We start from the raw sequence: 18,830 nt of genomic DNA, 5'->3' as shown, positions 1-18,830 counted from the left end.
GAGCCGATATCGCACCACTGCACTCCAGCCTGGCGACAGAGGGAGAATCTGTCTCAATCAATCAATCAACCAATCAATAAAGAGACTGGTGTTGCTCTATTAGTATCAAACAAAACTTAAAGGGCAAAAACCATTACTAGCAATAAAGTTCACTACCCAATGAAAAATGTTCTACTCAATTACAATATCTAAACTTCTATGTACCTAGTAACAAGATAGTTTCAAAATATGTTGACAGAACCACAAGGAGATCTTGACAAACCCATTACCACAGAGGACAATTTTTAACATATTATCAGAGTAACAAAACAAAGAAATAAAAACGGCCAGGCCTGGTGGCACACACCTGTAATCCCAGCACTTCGGGAGGCCGAGGCTGGTGGATCACCTGAGGTCAGGAATGCAAGACCAGCCTGGCCAACATGGTGAAACCCCATCTCTACTAAAAATACAAAAATTAGCTAGGTATGGTGGCGCACACTTGGAATCCCAGCTACTCAGGAGGCTGAGGCAGGAGAATCCCTTGAACCTGGGAGGCGGAGGTTGCAGTTAGCCAAGATCGTGCCACTGCACTCCAGGCCTGGGTGACACAGCCAGACTTGGTCTCAAAAAAATAAATAAATAAATACAAACATTATTAAGGCTAGAGAAGAACTCATATCACAACCAGCAAGTCTGATTTAATAGACATATACAGAATATTGCTTCCAAATAGAAAACAAATGAAACACATACAAAAAGCAATCAAATGCCAGGCCATAAAGAATGTCTCAATGTTCACGTAACTGATATCCTACAACCATATTCTCCAACAACCATAACAAAAAGATAACTTTTGAAATACCACGTTTGGAAACTTCTAAAAACTAATGAATCTAAGAAGAAATCATATTGAATTTTGAAAATACTTAGAAGTAAATAATTTTAAAAACTATACATCGAACTCTGTGGGATGTAGCAAGAGGAGTGTATATAGACAGATTTTTAGTTTTAAATAGTAACATTAAAAAACAAAAAGAGTGGCCGGGCGCGGTGGCTCATGCCTGTAATCCCAGCACTTCAGGAGGCTGAGGCGGGTGAATCACAAGTTCAGGAGATCGAGACCATCCTGGCTAACACGGTAAAACCCTGTCTCTACTAAAAATACAAAAAAATTAGACAGGCGTGGTGGCGGGTGCCTGTAGTCCCAGCTACTTGGGACGCTGAGGCAGGAGAATGGCTTGAACCCGGGAGGCGGGGCTTGCAGTGAGCCGAGATCGCGCCACTGCACTCCAGCCTGGGCCGCAGAGCGAGACTCTGTATCAAAAAATAATAATAATAATAATAATAAAATTTAAAATAAAATTTTAAAAAGAGCTAAAAATAAATTAATGAACTGAGTATCTATCTTAAGCAGTTAGAAAAGTTAAAGAAACATTAGAAAAACAAATCCAACTAGAAAATGAGCAAAAAAACATGAAGAGGCATTCACTGAAGATTTACAGATGGCAAATAAGCAGATGAAAAGGTATTCATCATTAGCTATTAAAGAAATGCAAATTAAAACCACACTGAGATGTCACTACATACGCTTGTCAGAATGGCTAAGAGTGGTAATACCAAATGCTGACAAGGGTAAGTTGAAATTGGATCACACGTATACTGCTGATGAGAATGTAAAATGGTACAGATACTCCGCAAAATTGTCTGACAGTTTCTCATAAAACTAAACATGCAACTACCATACAAGCTAGCAACTGCACCCCTGGGTATTTATCCCAGAGAAATGAAAATTTATGTTCACATTTTACATGAATGTTAACAGCAACTTTATTTCTAACAGTCAAAAACCGGAAACCACCCAGATGTCCTTCAACAGGCAAATAATTAAACAAACTGGTACGTTCATACCAAAAAGAACAATTGATGCACAAAACGACCTGGATGAATCTCCAGGGAATTATAACTGCTCAGTGAAAAAAGCCAATCTCAAAGGTTAACTATATGACTCCATTTATATAACACTCTCAAAATGACAAAATATGGAAATTAGAAACAGATTAGTAGTTGCCAGGGTTAACGGGGCAGCAGGAACAGGAGGGAAGTAAGTATGACTATAAAAGGGCAATATGAAGAAATTTTGTAATATTATTGTGATATTGTACTATACTTCTGCCAGATGTATTGCCACTGGAGGAAAGCATACACTGGATCTCGCAATAAGTTCTAAAGTTTCTCAGAATTGCATGTGGATCTATAATGATCTCAAAATAAAAAGTTTAATTAAAATAAAAACTGAAAGAGAAAACACAAATAGTCAAAAAGTATTCAAAAGATCCTGAATATCTTTATAATTAAAGAAATGAAAACTAAACTGAAATACCACACTTTACCTATCAGGGTGACAAAAGTATTACCAATATTATCTAGTCCTCCCCAGAATGTACAAAAATAGCATTCTACTACATTACTGGTATAATAACTAAAAATTTATATAATGCTTTTAAGTTTTATAATTATGGCACTTTTCAACATTTACAGAAGAGAATAGTATAATGAATCCTATACCTATCACCCAATTTTATCAATATTATGCCTTGTGGTTCAGCTATCCCCCTAATTTTTGGTGGGGGAACTGGAATCCCATGATTTCATTAAGCACTAACAGATTAAAAACCCATACCCCTCAAAAATGAACAAATCAAGGGCTCCTGACCTTTTCCCTTTTTTAACCCATATATGCCGGAGGTTGCAATTTCTTGTGTGAAAAATCAGACCTTGGTGACGACCTTGAGCATGATATAAATAACTCTCACAAGCTTAGCGTTCCAATAATGGAACACTAGGCACAAATGGGTTAAGCCATGGACCTCCCCTCCTCCTGCCTAATGGCAGTGTGGTGAAACATAGAACCTCTACTCACAATGTTTCTGATGCATAAAAATATATAAGATTGCAAACAAGTCAATTATACTAAAATTAAATTATCAGTATATTTTCAAAAGCTCATTTTGAAAAGGTGTTCCTTTATTAAGAACTCCTGCAACACTTATTTCATCTAATGCTAATATTCAATTTTTGCTAAGTGTATTTTTTTAAACATTCTTACAGTTGGTGTGAACTGGGATCCAAACTAAGTCGATATATTGCACTTAAGCTAACATGTTTTAAGTCTCTGACACTGTTCTCTTTCCCCACTCTATGTCATTTATTTAAGAAGCTGGCTTCACTTGTCCTGTAGCATTTCCCACATCGTGAATTTGGCTAGTGTATATTTTCATGGTGTTCCTCTATCCCCCCTATCTCCTATAAACTGGTAATTATTTCTAGAGGCTTTACTTTTTCTAGGTTGTTTTGTCATTGTTGCAAGAATAATTCGTTAAGTATTCTTGTGTACTTGTTATTGCCATTTATTAGGAGGCACATTATGTCTGCCTGAACCATTTTCTGTGATGTTAAGACTGAATGGTAGATTTGTAGCACTGAACTGATTTATCCATTATTATAAAGTTCCCCCATCAAACCTCTACCCAATGGTTTTACCTGCCACTGATGATCACTGCCTAGATCAACTATTTCAATAATGATGATGTGCTAGCTCTACCTGCTTTCAGAAACTGTGATTATTCTCAAAGGAAAATTTTGCTTATTGTTCTATTACCCTAAAACATAAAACCTTACAGAAAAGGTAGAATATATACTTCTGTGTGGTTATGACACCAACTGGACGTAGAGTTAGGCTCACTTGTTTTCATTTTTTGAAGATCACTTTATTTTCCCTTTTTAAAATGTAATTGTTTCATAATTATGTAAAACATTTGGATGGTTCTAAAAGCTAAACTATCAAGCAAGGTAGATGTTTAAATATCAAACATGTTTGAACATTATGTTTAATATTGTTTATATGAATGTTTAAACATTAAATATGCTTAAATATCAAACATATTTAAAACATTTAGAGAGGTCTTCTTCCATACCTTCTCTTTTCTCTCCCCTCTCCCATCCACCCCACTGGACAGCCATTTATTTATTTATTTATTTATTTATTTATTTATTTGAGACGGAGTCTCGCACTGCACTGTCACCCAGGCTGGAGTGCAGTGGAGCGACCCTGGCTCACTGCAACCTCCGCCTCCCAGGTTCATGGCATTCTCCTGCCTCAGCCTCCGAGTAGCCGGGACTACAGGTGCCCGCCACCATGCCCGGCTAATTTTTTTGTATTTTTAGTGGAGACGGGGTTTCACTGTGTTAGCCAGGATGGTTTCGATCTCCTGACCTCGTGATCCGCCTGCCTCGGCCTCCCAAAGTGCTGGGATTACAGGCGTGAGCCACCGCGCCCGGCCTGGACAGCTATTTATTTGTTTTGGTTTATGTTTCTATTTTTTTTTAAATAATTTAAGGAAAGTATTCAAGAAAAATATATAAGAAAATTGAAAATTCTAATTTTTATCTACCCCCACAACAAAACATACACACACACATGCACACAGGCGCGCACACACACACACACATACACATAGGCATAGACTATATTGCCTGAATCTTTTCATTTTCAGTTTAACAATCTATCCTTAAGATCATTCCACAGCAGCACATGAGACTTCCTTTACTAATACATCTACTACTTCTAACAATTGCAGAGTGCGTCATCATTATGTAAGTAGCACTTTCTTCAACTAGACCTTACTGATGGTCAATGGGTTGTTTGTAATTTTCTGGGATTAAATAGTGCTGCAATGAACAGCCTCATACATGTGTCATTTTGATTTTCTGTTAGTGTACCTTTGGGTTAGAATCATAGAAGAATGCTGAGTTACAGCTAAAGTTTGTATAATTTTGTGAGATACTGCTAAATTCTGTATTCATAAACTATTTTTAAAAACTCCTAACAATATATCAGTGATTATTTCCCCACAGCCTTGCCAACAAACTATGTTGTCAATCTTTTGGATTTTTGCCAATCTAATAGGGGAGAAATAGTATTTCAGAGTTGTAATTTGTATTTCTCTTATTACAGTGATTTCTTTTCCCATATTTAAGGGACATTTACATTTGTTTTTCTGTGTAAAGTGCTTGTTCATATCTTTTCCCCATATCCTAGAATAATGACTCCAACTCCATCAAGTTCCTTACCTGAAAAGGCTCCACATGGCCAGAATTTACCGTTTGTTCCAGCCAAAACCTGGTGATAGGCAGATGGTCACCTGAACCCCCATTTAGAGCAGTTACCTTAGAAAGCTTGAAATTATAAATCCTTTCTCTGTCCCTTTGTGACTTAAATCTTCTACCATCAAGAACTATCTTCCCAAGGACCTGAGAACTACCTCTTTGGAATGCAAACAATCAAAAAGATAACTTTCACTTTTGTTCCCAGTCCCTGGCGAGAGGGTAAGGGCCAAACATTGGTGGGCCTAATTTGTACCACCACCTCCTGTCATAAATAATAAGTTTGTTTCTCTTCCAGATAAATGCCAATAACAAACCCAGATGGCCTACTCACATGGACCACCTATTGCCCTTAAAAACCACTCAGTGGCCGGGCGCGGTGGCTCACGCCTGTAATCCCAGCACTTTGGGAGGCCGAGGCAGGCAGATCACGAGGTCAGGAAACTAAGACCATCCTGGCCAACATGGTGAAACCCCGTCTCTACTAAAATACAATAAAATTAGCTGGGCGTGGTGGTGCGTGCCTGTAGTCCCAGCTACTCAGGAGACTGAGGCAGGGGAATTGCTTGAGTCTGGGAGGCGGAGACTGCAGTGAGCTGAGATCACGCCACTGCACTCCAGCCTGGTGACAGAGACAGACTCCGTCTCAAAACAAAACAAAAAAACCATCTTTCTTTCCCTTAGCAGTGTCTTTCCCTTAGCATACTCAACCTTTAAAAAAGTCTCTTCCCCTTTTGTTTTGGCAAAAGTGAGTTGAGTTCACACTGGACACTCTTCCCTACTGCAATAGTTACTGAATAAAATCTGTCCTTACCATTTTAACTAGTGTCCAGTTTATCTTCGACATCTATAATTCTAGTTATGGACCAACACAAGTACTGGGCTCTCCCAAATTGGACATGCATAGAATATCCAAAGAAGCATCACAAAGGCACTAAGAAATGAAGTACAATATAAACACCACTCAAGCCCCACACATCCCTGCATAAAGCAAAGATGCAAATACCACAGCAAAAGTTTAGAAAATGAAACCAATATTGGAACTACTGCCCACAGTTCCTCCGCTTCCTAGATCCTATGTCTTACTTTTTCTTGCTTTACCCTTCATTTTGCTGGAGCACGTCCTCTAGTTGTTTCCTGAGTTAAAAATATATTGGAATTAAATTTTTTAGAATGCATATCTGAAAGTGATTTTGTTCTCTCATACATGACTGGTAGTTTGGCTATCTATATACAGGGGAGTTACTGTTTAATGGGTACAGAGTTTAAGTTTTGCAAGATGAAGATTATTCTGGAAATAGATGGTTGTACAACAATGTGAATGTACTTAATGCCAATATTTCTAGCCAGGTGAACCAGGAAGAGGAGTCATAAGGGATTAAGGTCCATCTTAACGACCTCATTTTACCTCAGTTACCTCTTTAAAGACACTATATCCAAATATAGTCACATTATGAACTACTGGGGGTTAGGACTTCAATGTGTGAATTTTTGAAGGGACAAAATTCAGTTCATAACATTTGTTTTTACCACAATTTTTTAGAAATTTAAAAATATGATTACAATCAACTATAAGGCCATTTATGTTTAATTCCCATATAGTATATAAGACTTAGATCAATTAATGTACTTACATGTTTGCTGTGTTAATTATGACAATAAATTCATTATGTTACACGTTTTCATAATTGGTGGTTTATATCTAATTGCTCATAATTTAGCAAGATTATTGCTCTTACGTTTGTAGTCACATAATGGCTTCTTTCTTTAGATAAAATGTAATAATCTTCAGATTATAGGATGATGATACTGATCTTGGATCAGTTTATTATAGTTCAGAGGGGTAATAAGTAATATTCTGTAATGCCTAACAAAATAATCATATAGACAGTAATGTCTTATATACCTAAGATATTTATAAGTTTGTCAAAGAAACAGAATTATAGTTGAGGTTTTTTTAAGAGCAAACTTTTTGCTTATCTTTCTTTATTCTCATTCCTTTGCTCTGTCTCCTAGTCTCCACTAACTACTCAATAAACATTTGTTGAGTGAATAAGTGAATGAATTGTGCTATGCACAGCACTTTTGCCTTTGTCATTATTTTGTGCCTTCTCATATTGGGGATGATTTCAAAGTGATATTTCCAAAAGTGGACAGAATTAGATGGAATTTTATTTGACCTACACTATTTTTTAAAAAAAAAGAAGAAAAACTTAATTTTTAAGTAGCCTTTATTTCTGACTAGCCTGTAATTTTTTGTTTTCCCAGTGGTGGGATCTGTTTCATTAGTTGTTTCATTAGTAAGAGTATTTACCAATTAAAATTACTTGATGAGATACTAGGGTTTAAAAAGCTGAAGAGAATAAAATCATCTTATGAATTGCCTTGTCTTTTTGCATTACTTACAGCATATCCAAGTTAGTTAATTGGGGACTTTCTCCCCCTTCATTGTTTACTGTGAGATCTGTACCCCAACCAAACTTCCGGACTTAGTCACTTGGGTATTGTTACTTAGCTGATTCTTATCAGAAGCAGGAAATTGTCAAGTTATGTGTTAAAGTACAACAGAATCTAAAACTGAACAAGAGATTTCCCTTTAGAATTTTATTTTATTGCTAGCTGGTTCCTTACATTTTCCTTAGGGTATAACTACTGACTTGCCAAAAAAGGTCATATTTATCATGACCTATATACACAGCCAACAGTACCCTTCCTCAGTTTACAAATTATACACAATATGACTGATTAAATGATTTGACAAACTTTGTGTCATTAATATATAGCTATACCTATAGAATTTATAAAAGTAGTTTGGGAAAGAACATGTTTTCAGGTGTTTTGTCTAGCATTATTCATGTATTTACATTAGCAGTTCTCTAAGAAAGGGTTACTAAAGTGGATCTCTTAAGGGGTCTACGGAGCCAAAACTATTTTCATAATACTAGGATGTTAATTTCCCTTTTCACTAGAGATTCCAGAGGCTACATGAAATTCAATTACATTGTCAGTATTTGTAAGATCTACAAAACTGTCAATATATATTGAGGAATGATACATAATAGATGGATAAAAATAGGGCCATATATTTTTTTGCTGTTTATTTTACATACAGTAAGATTTTCACTGTTTGTTGTGAATAAAATTTGACAAACATTTAAGAGTTATGTAATCACTGCCACAATCTAAATAAGAAAATAAGAACAGTTCTATCACTCCCCCTCAAGAAAAAAAAAAATTGCTTTATGCTTTGTATTCAAACCCATCCCCAACCATTAATTTGTGACAACTATTGATCTATTTTCTGTCCCTATGTAGTTTTGCCTTTTCCAGAATGTTTTATGCAGACGCTGAGTCTGGCTTTTCCAGTTAACATAATGCATTTGTTTCATTTGTGTTGTGTAAATCAGTAGTTCACTCCTTTTTAGTGCTGAGTAGTCCATTGTACGGACGAACCATCATTTATTTAATGAGAACTTTATAAATTTCAAGAAAAACTAAGTTAAACAAGAAAATAAATTTAATCATAGGAGGTGAGCCAGTAATGAACAATACTCACATGGTTACACGGTCATTAGTGAAAACACTGAATATATATCACTTTATCAAGACAATGAGGCCAAGAAAGGTTACATGAATGAATACAGTTGGCCCTCAGTATCTAAGGCAGGAGTGTCCAATCTTTTGGCTTTCCTGGGCCACAATGGAAGAATTGTCTTGGGCCACACATAAAATACACTAAACTAACGATAGCTGATGAGCTTAAAATAATCACCAAAAAATCTCATCATGTTTTAAGAACGTTTGTGAATTTGTGTTGGGCTGCATTCAAAGCCATCCTGGGCTGCATGCAGCCCGCAGGCCACAGGTTGGATAAGGTTAATCTAAGGGAAATCAGTGCCAGTTTCCTCCTCCCCAATACCAAAATCCAGAGATGCTCAAGTCTCTTATATGAAAATGGCCTAGTACTTGTACATAACCTATGCACAACCTCCTGTATACGTTAAGTCATCTCTAGATTACTTGTAATACCTAATATAATAAAATGTGAATAGTTGTTTCACTGTATTGGGTTTTTTGTTTGTATATTTTAATTAGTGTATTTTTTTTTCCAGAATATTTTTTACCTGTGGTTGGTTGAATCTGTGGATGCAGAACCCAGAGATGTGGAGGGCTGACTGTATCTTCATTTATCTTAATAGAAATGAACTAAGAGATAATATGTATATATTATTTAGATATGTATCTATAAAGAATATCAGAAGAAACCTAGCTATACATTTAGCCAACTCTTGCTGGATCAATAAAACCACCCATCTTTTCACTTTACAAACTCTAAGCTCCCAGAATGCTCCACATAAACAATTTATTTTTAAATGTAATATAAAAACAAACGGCCTGCCTTGAACTCTAAGGGTGTAAAGAACAAAAAGAATAATGATCCTGGGGACAGGCCAGGTGTCAGGTATAAAACAGGACAGATCCAGAGAAGCAACACAAGAAATTTACACCCACTGGTTGTAAGATAGAGACTATGGATTCTGGTCTTATTCTCCTCACAAAGGGTGATGCCAAAAAGGGAAGCACTAATATTTGGTGAGAGCTTACTGATGTATTTGTCATCCATTGCGAAGGTTCTGGGAATTATCTTCCTGAGACATGGAAGCAGAGATTTTACTCAACCTAAACCACCTCTAACTCGTAAGTGCTGTGGGAAAGAACTGTTATAAATAAAGAAACGTGACCTTTACCTAAGGAGAGAGAACTGACCTAGGTAACTTGACCCTCAAAAGTAAAATGGGAGTCACAAACTAGAAACCAGAGGCATGACAGGAAAAGTGTAAGATATGAACTATCCTTTATTTCCCTTTTACTATTATCTCTAAATTGCTTTCATATTTGGTTACATGGGCTATAAGGTGGAGGGCACTAGGAAGATGGTCTAGATTCTCCAATTTTTCAAAAGCTGGAGAAAAACCCCCAAAGGATTGTGAAGGTTAAAACAACTTTAAAGATGCAAAGTAAAATATAGTCTCTGAGATCTGATTCAAGGAAAAAATGAGAATAGGAACCAGGCCAGGCCTGAGAAAGATCTATGAGGCTTAACATGGACAGAGGTGTCCAATCTTTTGGTTTCCCTGGATCATACTGGAAGAAGAATTGTCTCAGGCCACACATAAAATACACTAACGATAGCTGATTAAGCAAAAAAAAAAAAAAAGCTCATAATGTTTTAAGAAAGTTTACAAATTTGTGTTGGGCCACATTTAAAGCTGTCCTGGGCTGCATGCAGCCCATAGGATGGACAAGCTTGACACAGAACATGCCACATTGTTCTCACATAAACTGAACCAATGCTCCACATTTTATACTATGTTTACATATTACATATGAATACATTTGATAAATTACAAATGTACAATATTTCACCTTAGGCAACTTGTTTATCTTACCCTAGTTTTCAGCCCTGTTTGGCTGCCCCTATAAGCAAAATATGCTTATAATATATTTAATTTCCCTCCTAGCCACACACTTGGGTTGTAGCCACTGCTCTGCCGTTAGTGATCACTCAGGGCCTGTCATACCAACCTCCCAGAAACTCCATTTCCTTATCTACAAAATAAGGGAATTGAACTGGATAATATAAAAAAGTCTCTTTTATTGAGTATCAAAATTACAATTTCAATTTTTTGAACTAAACAAACTGTTTTATTTTCTAAGTTTTTCATTACACTAAACCCTCATTCTGATCCTTACCCTTCTAATCTAATTATTATATTTCAGTGTCACTCCAAGTTATACATATTTCCAAAACAACATACACAAACTAACACAGAGAACACTGACTATAATTTCCCCATGCTTTACATTATTAATAAGGTTTAGATTGTGTCATCTCTTCTAGTAAGCATATTCATAAAACCTGAATATGCTTACTTGAAGGTTCTCTCCAAATCTCATGTTGAAATTTGATCCCCATGTTGGAAATGGGGCCTAATGGGAGGTGTTTGGGTTGTGGGAGTGGATACCTCATGAATACATTACTGCCATCCCTCTTGAGTGAGTTCACATACATAAAACCTGTGTTAACCTGAAATATCAGACGTATTTAACTTATGACTAATCATAACATTTGAGAATTTTTCATATTAATTGCTGCACTTAATTCCAATTCCCCCTCATGCCTTCCATGAGCTTATGTCATTTTTAATCACAAAATGGTTTTAGGACTCTACCACTTAGCCCTTGATACAGTTTGGATTTGTGTATCCACCCAAATCTCATGTCGAATTGTAATCTCCAGGTGACTGGAGGTGACTGCGAGGTGACTGGATCATGGGGACAGATTTCCCCCCTTGTTGTTCTGTGATAGCTGTTGTTCCATGATGAATTCTCATGAGACCTGGTTGTTTAAAAGTGTTTGGCTAGGCCGGGCCCAGTGGCTCACACCTGTAATCCCAGCACTTTAGGAGGCCGAGGTGGGCAGATCACCCGGGCTCAGGAGTTCGAGACCAGCATGGCCAACGTGGTGAAACCCTGTCTCTACTAATAATACAAAAGTTAGCCAGGCGTGGTGATGCACACCTGTAATCCCAGCTACTCGGGAGGCTGAGACAGGAGAATTGCTTGAACCTGGGAGGTGGAGGTTGCAGTGAGCCAAGATGGCTCCACTGCACTCCAGCCTGGATGACGGAGTGAGACTCCATCTCAAAAAAAAAAAAACAAAAGCAAAAGTGTTTGGCACCTTCACCTTCACTCTCTTCCTTCTGCTCTGGCCATGCTTCCTATACAGCCTGAGGAAACTGTGAACCTTTTAAACCTCTTTTCTTTATAAATTACCCAGTCTCAAGTAGTTATTTATAGCAACGTGAGAGCAGACTAATACAGCCCTATTAAAGTTTATCATGCCTCCCATTATCATTTTGGCCTATGCAAGCCATAAGACCTACTGGAGTTACAGGGAACCAGTACACTCCGTACATTCTTACTTAAAAATCCTGGGTATAAAAGAACTTTGCAACTTCTACAATATTATTGCATAGGCACATCTTCATACACCTTTCCCTACAATACTTTGTGCTTCTGTGACCTATAATTCAAGAAAAAGTACCACCATAAATCCAGCTGTCTGGATTAATTAATGCTACTACGTCAACCCCCCACAGACCAAATCATGTCCCTTTTATCTTCTCAATAGGACTCAAATGAATCCATGTATCTCCATTCTCACTACTACTACCCCTTAGTAGTAATGTGATCTACTTGATGAAGCCTCCTTAAGGTACGTATTAGTCTGTCTGTGTTGCTACAAAGGAATGCCTGAGGCTAATCTATAAAGAAAAAAGGCTTATTTGGCTCAAAATTCTCATGGCTAGAAAGTTCAAGATTGGGCATCTTCATCTGGTGAGAACCTCAGTATGCTTCCACCCATGAAAGATGGCAAAGAGAAGCCAGCATGTACACAGATCACATGACGAGAGATGAAGCAAGAGAGAGAATGGGGAGGTGTCAGGCTCTTTTTAACAACTGGCTCCCACAGGAACTAATATAGTGAGAACTCACTTACTCAAGAGGGATGGCAGTAATATATTATGAGGGATCCACTCCCACGACCCAAACACCTCCCATTAGGCCCCACTTCCAACATGGGGATCAAATTTCAACATGAGATTTGGAGAGAACATTCAAACCATAGCAAGCGATCTCCCAATTTCAAGTCCCAATATCTTCTGGCTGGAAGCCAGAAGTTGTCACATTAGTTGTCACATTAGGGCGCAAAAAAGATCTGAAACACAAATTCCTTCTATAAATGTTTGCTAACTGAAGATAAAAGCTAAATAAAAGGTCTCCAATGGATTTTCTTTGAGTTATAATGAACTTACTATTCTTGAGTTCCTCAAAATTAAGGAGAAAAAGAACTCTTCTAACTCTAATGAAACCTTTAAAAAACATTAGAGGATTCTGGGGAGAAAGCAGAGTAGGAAGCAACAAGAATCTTCTCTCCACCTAGACAACAATTGTACTAGTATAATCTGTCTTATTTAAGTATTTTGGAACTCTGGAGCACATTCTAAGGCTTGCAAGTTCCAGGGAAAGGGCCTGAAAATAAACTGCTGTTACTTTTAGTCAATTTCAGCTCTTAGTTCAGCAGTGACTACCCATTCCCCAATCTCCAGGCAGACACGCATGTGTTCCACAGCTTTCGGGCAATAAGACCTGTCCTCCAACTATCAGGTATCTATGCTCTGACAGCTAATTGCGCTTTCTGATCACTGAGATACAGACACAGAAGCAGGCAGCTATTGTTTCACCTCCCTCCCAATAGCTAGAGGCCACTGCTCCCCGCAGTCAGGCTAAAGGGGATTTAAAAGACCAGGGCCTTTTATTTTTATTTCTTCATTTTTCTCTTTCTCCCTTTTTGGAAGCCAGACATTAAAGGACTAGGACATTCAGAAGCAACCATATAAATGGGGAATTTAGAAAATCACTGTGCGGCTGGGCGTGGTGGCTCACGCCTGTAATCCCAGCACTTTGGGAGGCCAGGATCACAAGGTCAGGAGATCGAGACCATCCTGGCTAACACGGTGAAACCCCGTCTCTAATAAAAATACACAAAATTAGTTGGGCGCGGTGGCGGGCGCCTGTAGTCCCAGCTACTCAGGAGGCTGAGGCAGGAGAATGGCGTGAACCCGGGAGGCGGAGCTTGCAGTGGGCCGAGATCGCGCCACTGCACTCCAGCCTGGGCGAAAGAGTGAGATTCCGTCTCAAAAAAACAAAACAAAACAAACAAAAAACAAAACAAAAGAAAATCACTGTGCATGTCCAGGAAAAGGCAAAGGCTCAGAAAAGATCTGAGATAGCCTACAACAATCAAAAAATAAAAAGGGCTGGGTGCAGTGTCTCAAACTTGTAATTCCAAGACTTTGAGAGGCCAAAGCGGGAGGACTGCTTGAGCCTAGGAGTTCTAGACAAGCTTGGGCAACATAATGAGACCCTGTCTCTACAAAAAATAAAACATTAGGCAGGCATAGTGGTGCACACTTGCAGTCCCAGCTCCTCAGGAAGGAGGATCCTTTGAGCCCAGGAGGTCAAGGCTACAGTGAGCCATGATCATGCCACTGCACTCCAGCCTGGGTGACAAAGCAAGACTCTAAAAACAAAAAGAAAAACAAGCACACACAAAAACCCAGCAAATCCTGAGGAAAGGAGACAATCTGATTTCCAGAGTTATCACATTAGCAGATTTAAATGTCCAGTTTTCAACAACAAAAAGGGATACAAAGAAATGGGAAAGTATGGCCTATATGAAAGAAAAAAAAATAAACCAACAGAAACCTTCCCAGAGAAAGATCAGAAGACGGGCCTAATAGACAAAGACTTTTAAAAAGCTACCTTAAAGGTGTTCAAAGAACTAAAAGAAGACACAGAGAAAGGCAAGAAAACAATGTAGAAAGAAAGTAGGAAAATGAGTAAAGAGATAGAAAACCTCAAAGGAGGCTGGGTGCAGTGGCTCACACCTGTAATCCTTGTATTTTAGGAGGCTGAGGCAGAAGGATCACTTGAGTCCAGGATATCAAGACCAAGACCAGTTTGGGAAACAGCAAGACCCTGCTTCTACAAAAAAAATTTAAAAATTAGCCAAGCACAGCAGCGCAAGTAGTTCCAGCTACTCAGGAAGCTGAAGCAGGGGGACTGCTTGAGCCCAGGAGTTTGAGGCTGCAGTGAGCCCATGAACCGTGATCACACAGCCAAACTCCAACCTGGGTGACAAACTGAGACCCTGTCTTAAAAAAAAAAAAGAGGAGGGAAAAATCTCAAAGGAAACTAAAAACAAACTGTGGAGCTCCTGAGGGCAATAACTAAAATGGAAAATTCACTACAGGGATTTGAATAAAGACTTGAGCAGGCAGAAGAAAGAATCAACAAGTGTGATGATAGGGCAACATAAAAAAAAAAAAAAGACTGAAGAAAAGTCAAAAGAGGCAAACAGACACTATCAAGAGAACGAACACACACATTGTGGGAATGCCAAAAGTAGAGGGGCAAAGAGATTATTTGAAAAACTAATGGCTACCAGCCTGGCCAAACGTGGCGAAACCCCATCTCTACTAAAAACACAAAAATCAGCCAGGCGTGGTGGCATGTGCCTGTAGTTCCAGCTACGTGGGAGGCTGAGGCAGGAGAATTGCTTGAACCTGGAAGGCAGAGGTTGCAGTGAGCCAAGATCACACCACTGCACTCCAGCCTGGGTGACAGAGCGAGACTCGGTCTCAAAAAAAAAAAAAAAAAAGAAAAAATAATAGCTAAAAACTTCCCAAATTTGATGAAAGACATAAATATACATATTCAATAAACTCAACAGACTCCAAGTAGCATGAACACAAGGAGATGCACAGCAAGACACATTATAATCTATCCAAAAAGAAACAGAGACTCTTGAAAGGAGTAAGAGTAATCTGTCACATATAAGGGATCCTCAATGATATTATAAGCAGATTTCTCATCAGCAGCTCTGTAGGCCAAAACACAGTGGGCTAATATAGTCTAATAGTCTAATTAACTACCAAAGGGGAGAATAAAAAAAAAACTGTCAGCTAAGAATCCTATACTGGCAAAACTCTCCTTCAAAAGTGAGGGAAAAATTATGACTTTCCAAAATAAACAAAAGTTAAGGAAATTCATTACCACTAGAACTTCTGTGCAAGAAATGCTAAAAGAGCAAACTAAAAAGCAACTGCACAGCAAACAATTAACAAAGCGAAGAGACAGCACACAGAATGGGAGAAAATATTTGCAAACCATACAACTGATAAGGGGTTAATATCCAAAATATATAAGGAACTCCAGACAATTCGGTAGCAAGAAAGCAACCTGGTTTTAGAATAGGCAAAAGACTTGAACAAACATTTCTCAAAAAAAGACATGAAAATGGCAACAGATACATAAGAAAATGCTCAGCATCACTAATCATTAGGGAAATGCAATTTAAAACACTAAGATCCGTTAGCATGGCTTTTATCAAAAAGAACAATAAAAAGGTTGATGAGGATGCAGAGAAAAGCAAACATTTGTACATTGCTGGTGGGGATGTAAATTAAATTAGTACAGCCATTATGAAAAAGAGTATGGAGGGTCCTCAAAAAACTAAATTAGAGCTACCATATGATCCAGCAATCCCACTTCTGGGTATATATCCAAAGGAACTAAAATCAATATGGCAAAGGGACATCTATATTCCCATGTTCATTGCAGCATTATTCACAATAGCCAGGATATGGAATCAACTTAAGTGTCCATCAATGGATTAATGAAGAAAAAATGTGGTGTATATACACAATGAAATTCAGCCTTAAAAAAGAAGTAAATTCTTTCATTTGCAACAACATAAATGAACCTAGAGGACTTTATGCTAAATTAAATAAGCCGGCACAGAAAGACATGGTCTCACATACATGTGGAATCTAAAAAAGTTGAACTCATAGAAGTAGAGAGTAGAATGATGCTTACCAGAGACTGGGGAGAAGCCAGGATGGGAAGGTGTTGGTCAAAGGATATCAAGTTTCAGAGAGGAGGAATAAGCTTTGAGGCCTATTGCACAGCACAGTGATTCCAGTCAGTATTAATGTATTATATATTTCAAAATAACTAAGAGTACATTTTAAATGTCTCGTTATGAAAATGATATGTAAACAAGGTTATGGATATGTTAATTAGCTTGATTTAATCATTTCACATTGTATACATGTGTCAGAACATCCCATTGTACCCCAGAAAAGTATAAAATTATGATTTGTCAATTAACAACATTAAATTTAAAACTGGAATAAATAAATGCTAAGAGGAGTCAAACAGGTTGAAAGGAAAGGATGCTAGACAGTAATTTGAAGCTATATAAAGTAAAAGTAAATGCATGGGCAAGTATAAAAGCTAGTATTACTGTAACTTTAGTTTGTAACTCTGAGGTTTATTCAGTTTGTAATTTTTTAAACATAACTTTACTACACAACAAAAACATTACTCTAAAAGCTAGAATAATTGTAACTTTAGTTTGTTACTACACATTTTATTTTCTACATAAGAGACAAATGCATAAAATAACCAAAAGGGGGTAGGGATGGAGCTGTACAGGAAGTTACTCTATGTTACTGAAGTTAAGCTGGTATAAATTTAAATTGGAGTGTTTTATCTTCAGAATGTTAAATGTAATCCCCATGGTAACTACAAAAAGTAGCTACTGAATAGACACAAAAGGAAATTAGAATGGAATTATTCTATTAAATTCAGCACAAAAGACAGTAATGCAGCAAATGAGTGACAAGAAAGCTGTAAGGCATAAAGAAAACAAATAGCAAAATAACAGCAGTCTCTCCTAATCAGTAACTACTCTAATGTAAATAAACTCTCCAATCAAAAGACAGAGATTGGCAAGATGAATAGAAAAAAAATTCTAAATATATGCTATCCGTAAGAGACTCACTTTAGATCCAAAGACACAAATAGGTAAAACGTGTAAGGAGGGAAAGGCTAGTCCATGCACATAGGAACCGTAAGAGAAGTGAGGTGGGCTGTATTAACATCAGACAACATAGACTATAAAACAAGAAGGTGTAAGAGACAAGGAAGGATACTATACATTAATAAAAAGTTTAATATAGCAAGAAGATACTATGATAAACATTTAACATGTAATGACAGCCCATCAAAATATATAAAGCAAAAACTAACAGAATTTAAGGGAGAAACAAGACAGTTCTACAGTAATCATTGGAAACTTCAATACCTGACTCTCAATAATGGGTAGAATAATCAGACAAAAGAGGAAAGAGGACTTAATACTATAAACCAATTAGCTGTATCAGAGAACACTATCCAACAACACAAATCATATTCTTCTCAAGTGCACATGGGACATTTATATTATTACAGCACTCGACATTCTGCCATTGAAATTGGTTGTTTAAATAATTGTCTCTCAGAGCAAGCTCTTAGAGGAAACAGCCTTGTTTCATTTTGTATCCCTGGCACCTCAACAGAATATCATACACGTGGTTTTTAGCATTTACAAATTATGAGTTTCAGCTCCTTTCACACGGTGTTTCAGTCCTCAGTCTAGCATGCCCTTCCCCTCTCAGCAAACTTCTACGTATTTTTAAGACCCAATTCACATATTTTCTTTGCACCATTTGCCTAGATATCTCTGAGTAGTCAGTGACTCCCTTCTCTGTGATTCTACCTAACTTCTGCCTCTCTCTTACTGTCTTAGTCCATTTTGTGCTGCTATAACAGAATATCTGAGATTGGGTGATTTATAAAGGACAGAAATTTATTTCCTCATAGTTCTGAAGGGTGGGAAGTTCAAGATCAAGACACTAGCATCTGGTGAAGGCCTTCCTACTACATAACAACAAGGAGGAAGGCATCAAATATCTGGGGGTGAGTGGGGGAAGAGTCATGGATCCCATTCCTAAAATAACAGCATTAATTCATTCATGAGTGTAGTGTCCCCAAGACCCAAACACCTCCCATTATGCCCCACCTCCCAACACCACTGCATCAACTTTCCAACACATTAACTTTGGGGTACACATTCAAACCACAGCACTATACTGTATATATCCCACTGAATCTGAAATTCTCTTGTAATGGTCTTATAATTTTTGTACCTTCACATGCAGAAACCATTAGCT

At 37.6% G+C, this 18,830-nt stretch overlaps 1 protein-coding gene across 6 annotated transcripts in view; it reads right to left on the bottom strand.

Moving 5' to 3' along the window:
- Positions 1-18,830, bottom strand: part of NCK1 (NCK adaptor protein 1) — an 89,399-nt gene that overhangs the window by 24,011 nt on the left and 46,558 nt on the right. Inside the window, exon 1 of one of the 6 annotated variants that reach the window (XM_047448190.1) lies at positions 14,661-14,752. The exons of the other annotated variants lie outside the window; for them this stretch is intronic. The gene's annotated coding sequence lies outside the window, so the exon portion shown is untranslated. Of the gene's footprint in view, positions 1-14,660; positions 14,753-18,830 lie in introns of those variants that run through there. 6 annotated transcript variants of the gene reach the window in all.

This window comes from Homo sapiens, chromosome 3 (genome assembly GCF_000001405.40).
Source record: "Homo sapiens chromosome 3, GRCh38.p14 Primary Assembly".
Classification (NCBI taxonomy): domain Eukaryota; kingdom Metazoa; phylum Chordata; class Mammalia; order Primates; family Hominidae; genus Homo; species Homo sapiens.
The sequence above is the reverse complement of the archived record's forward strand: the minus strand, read 5'-3'. Positions and strand labels throughout refer to the sequence as shown.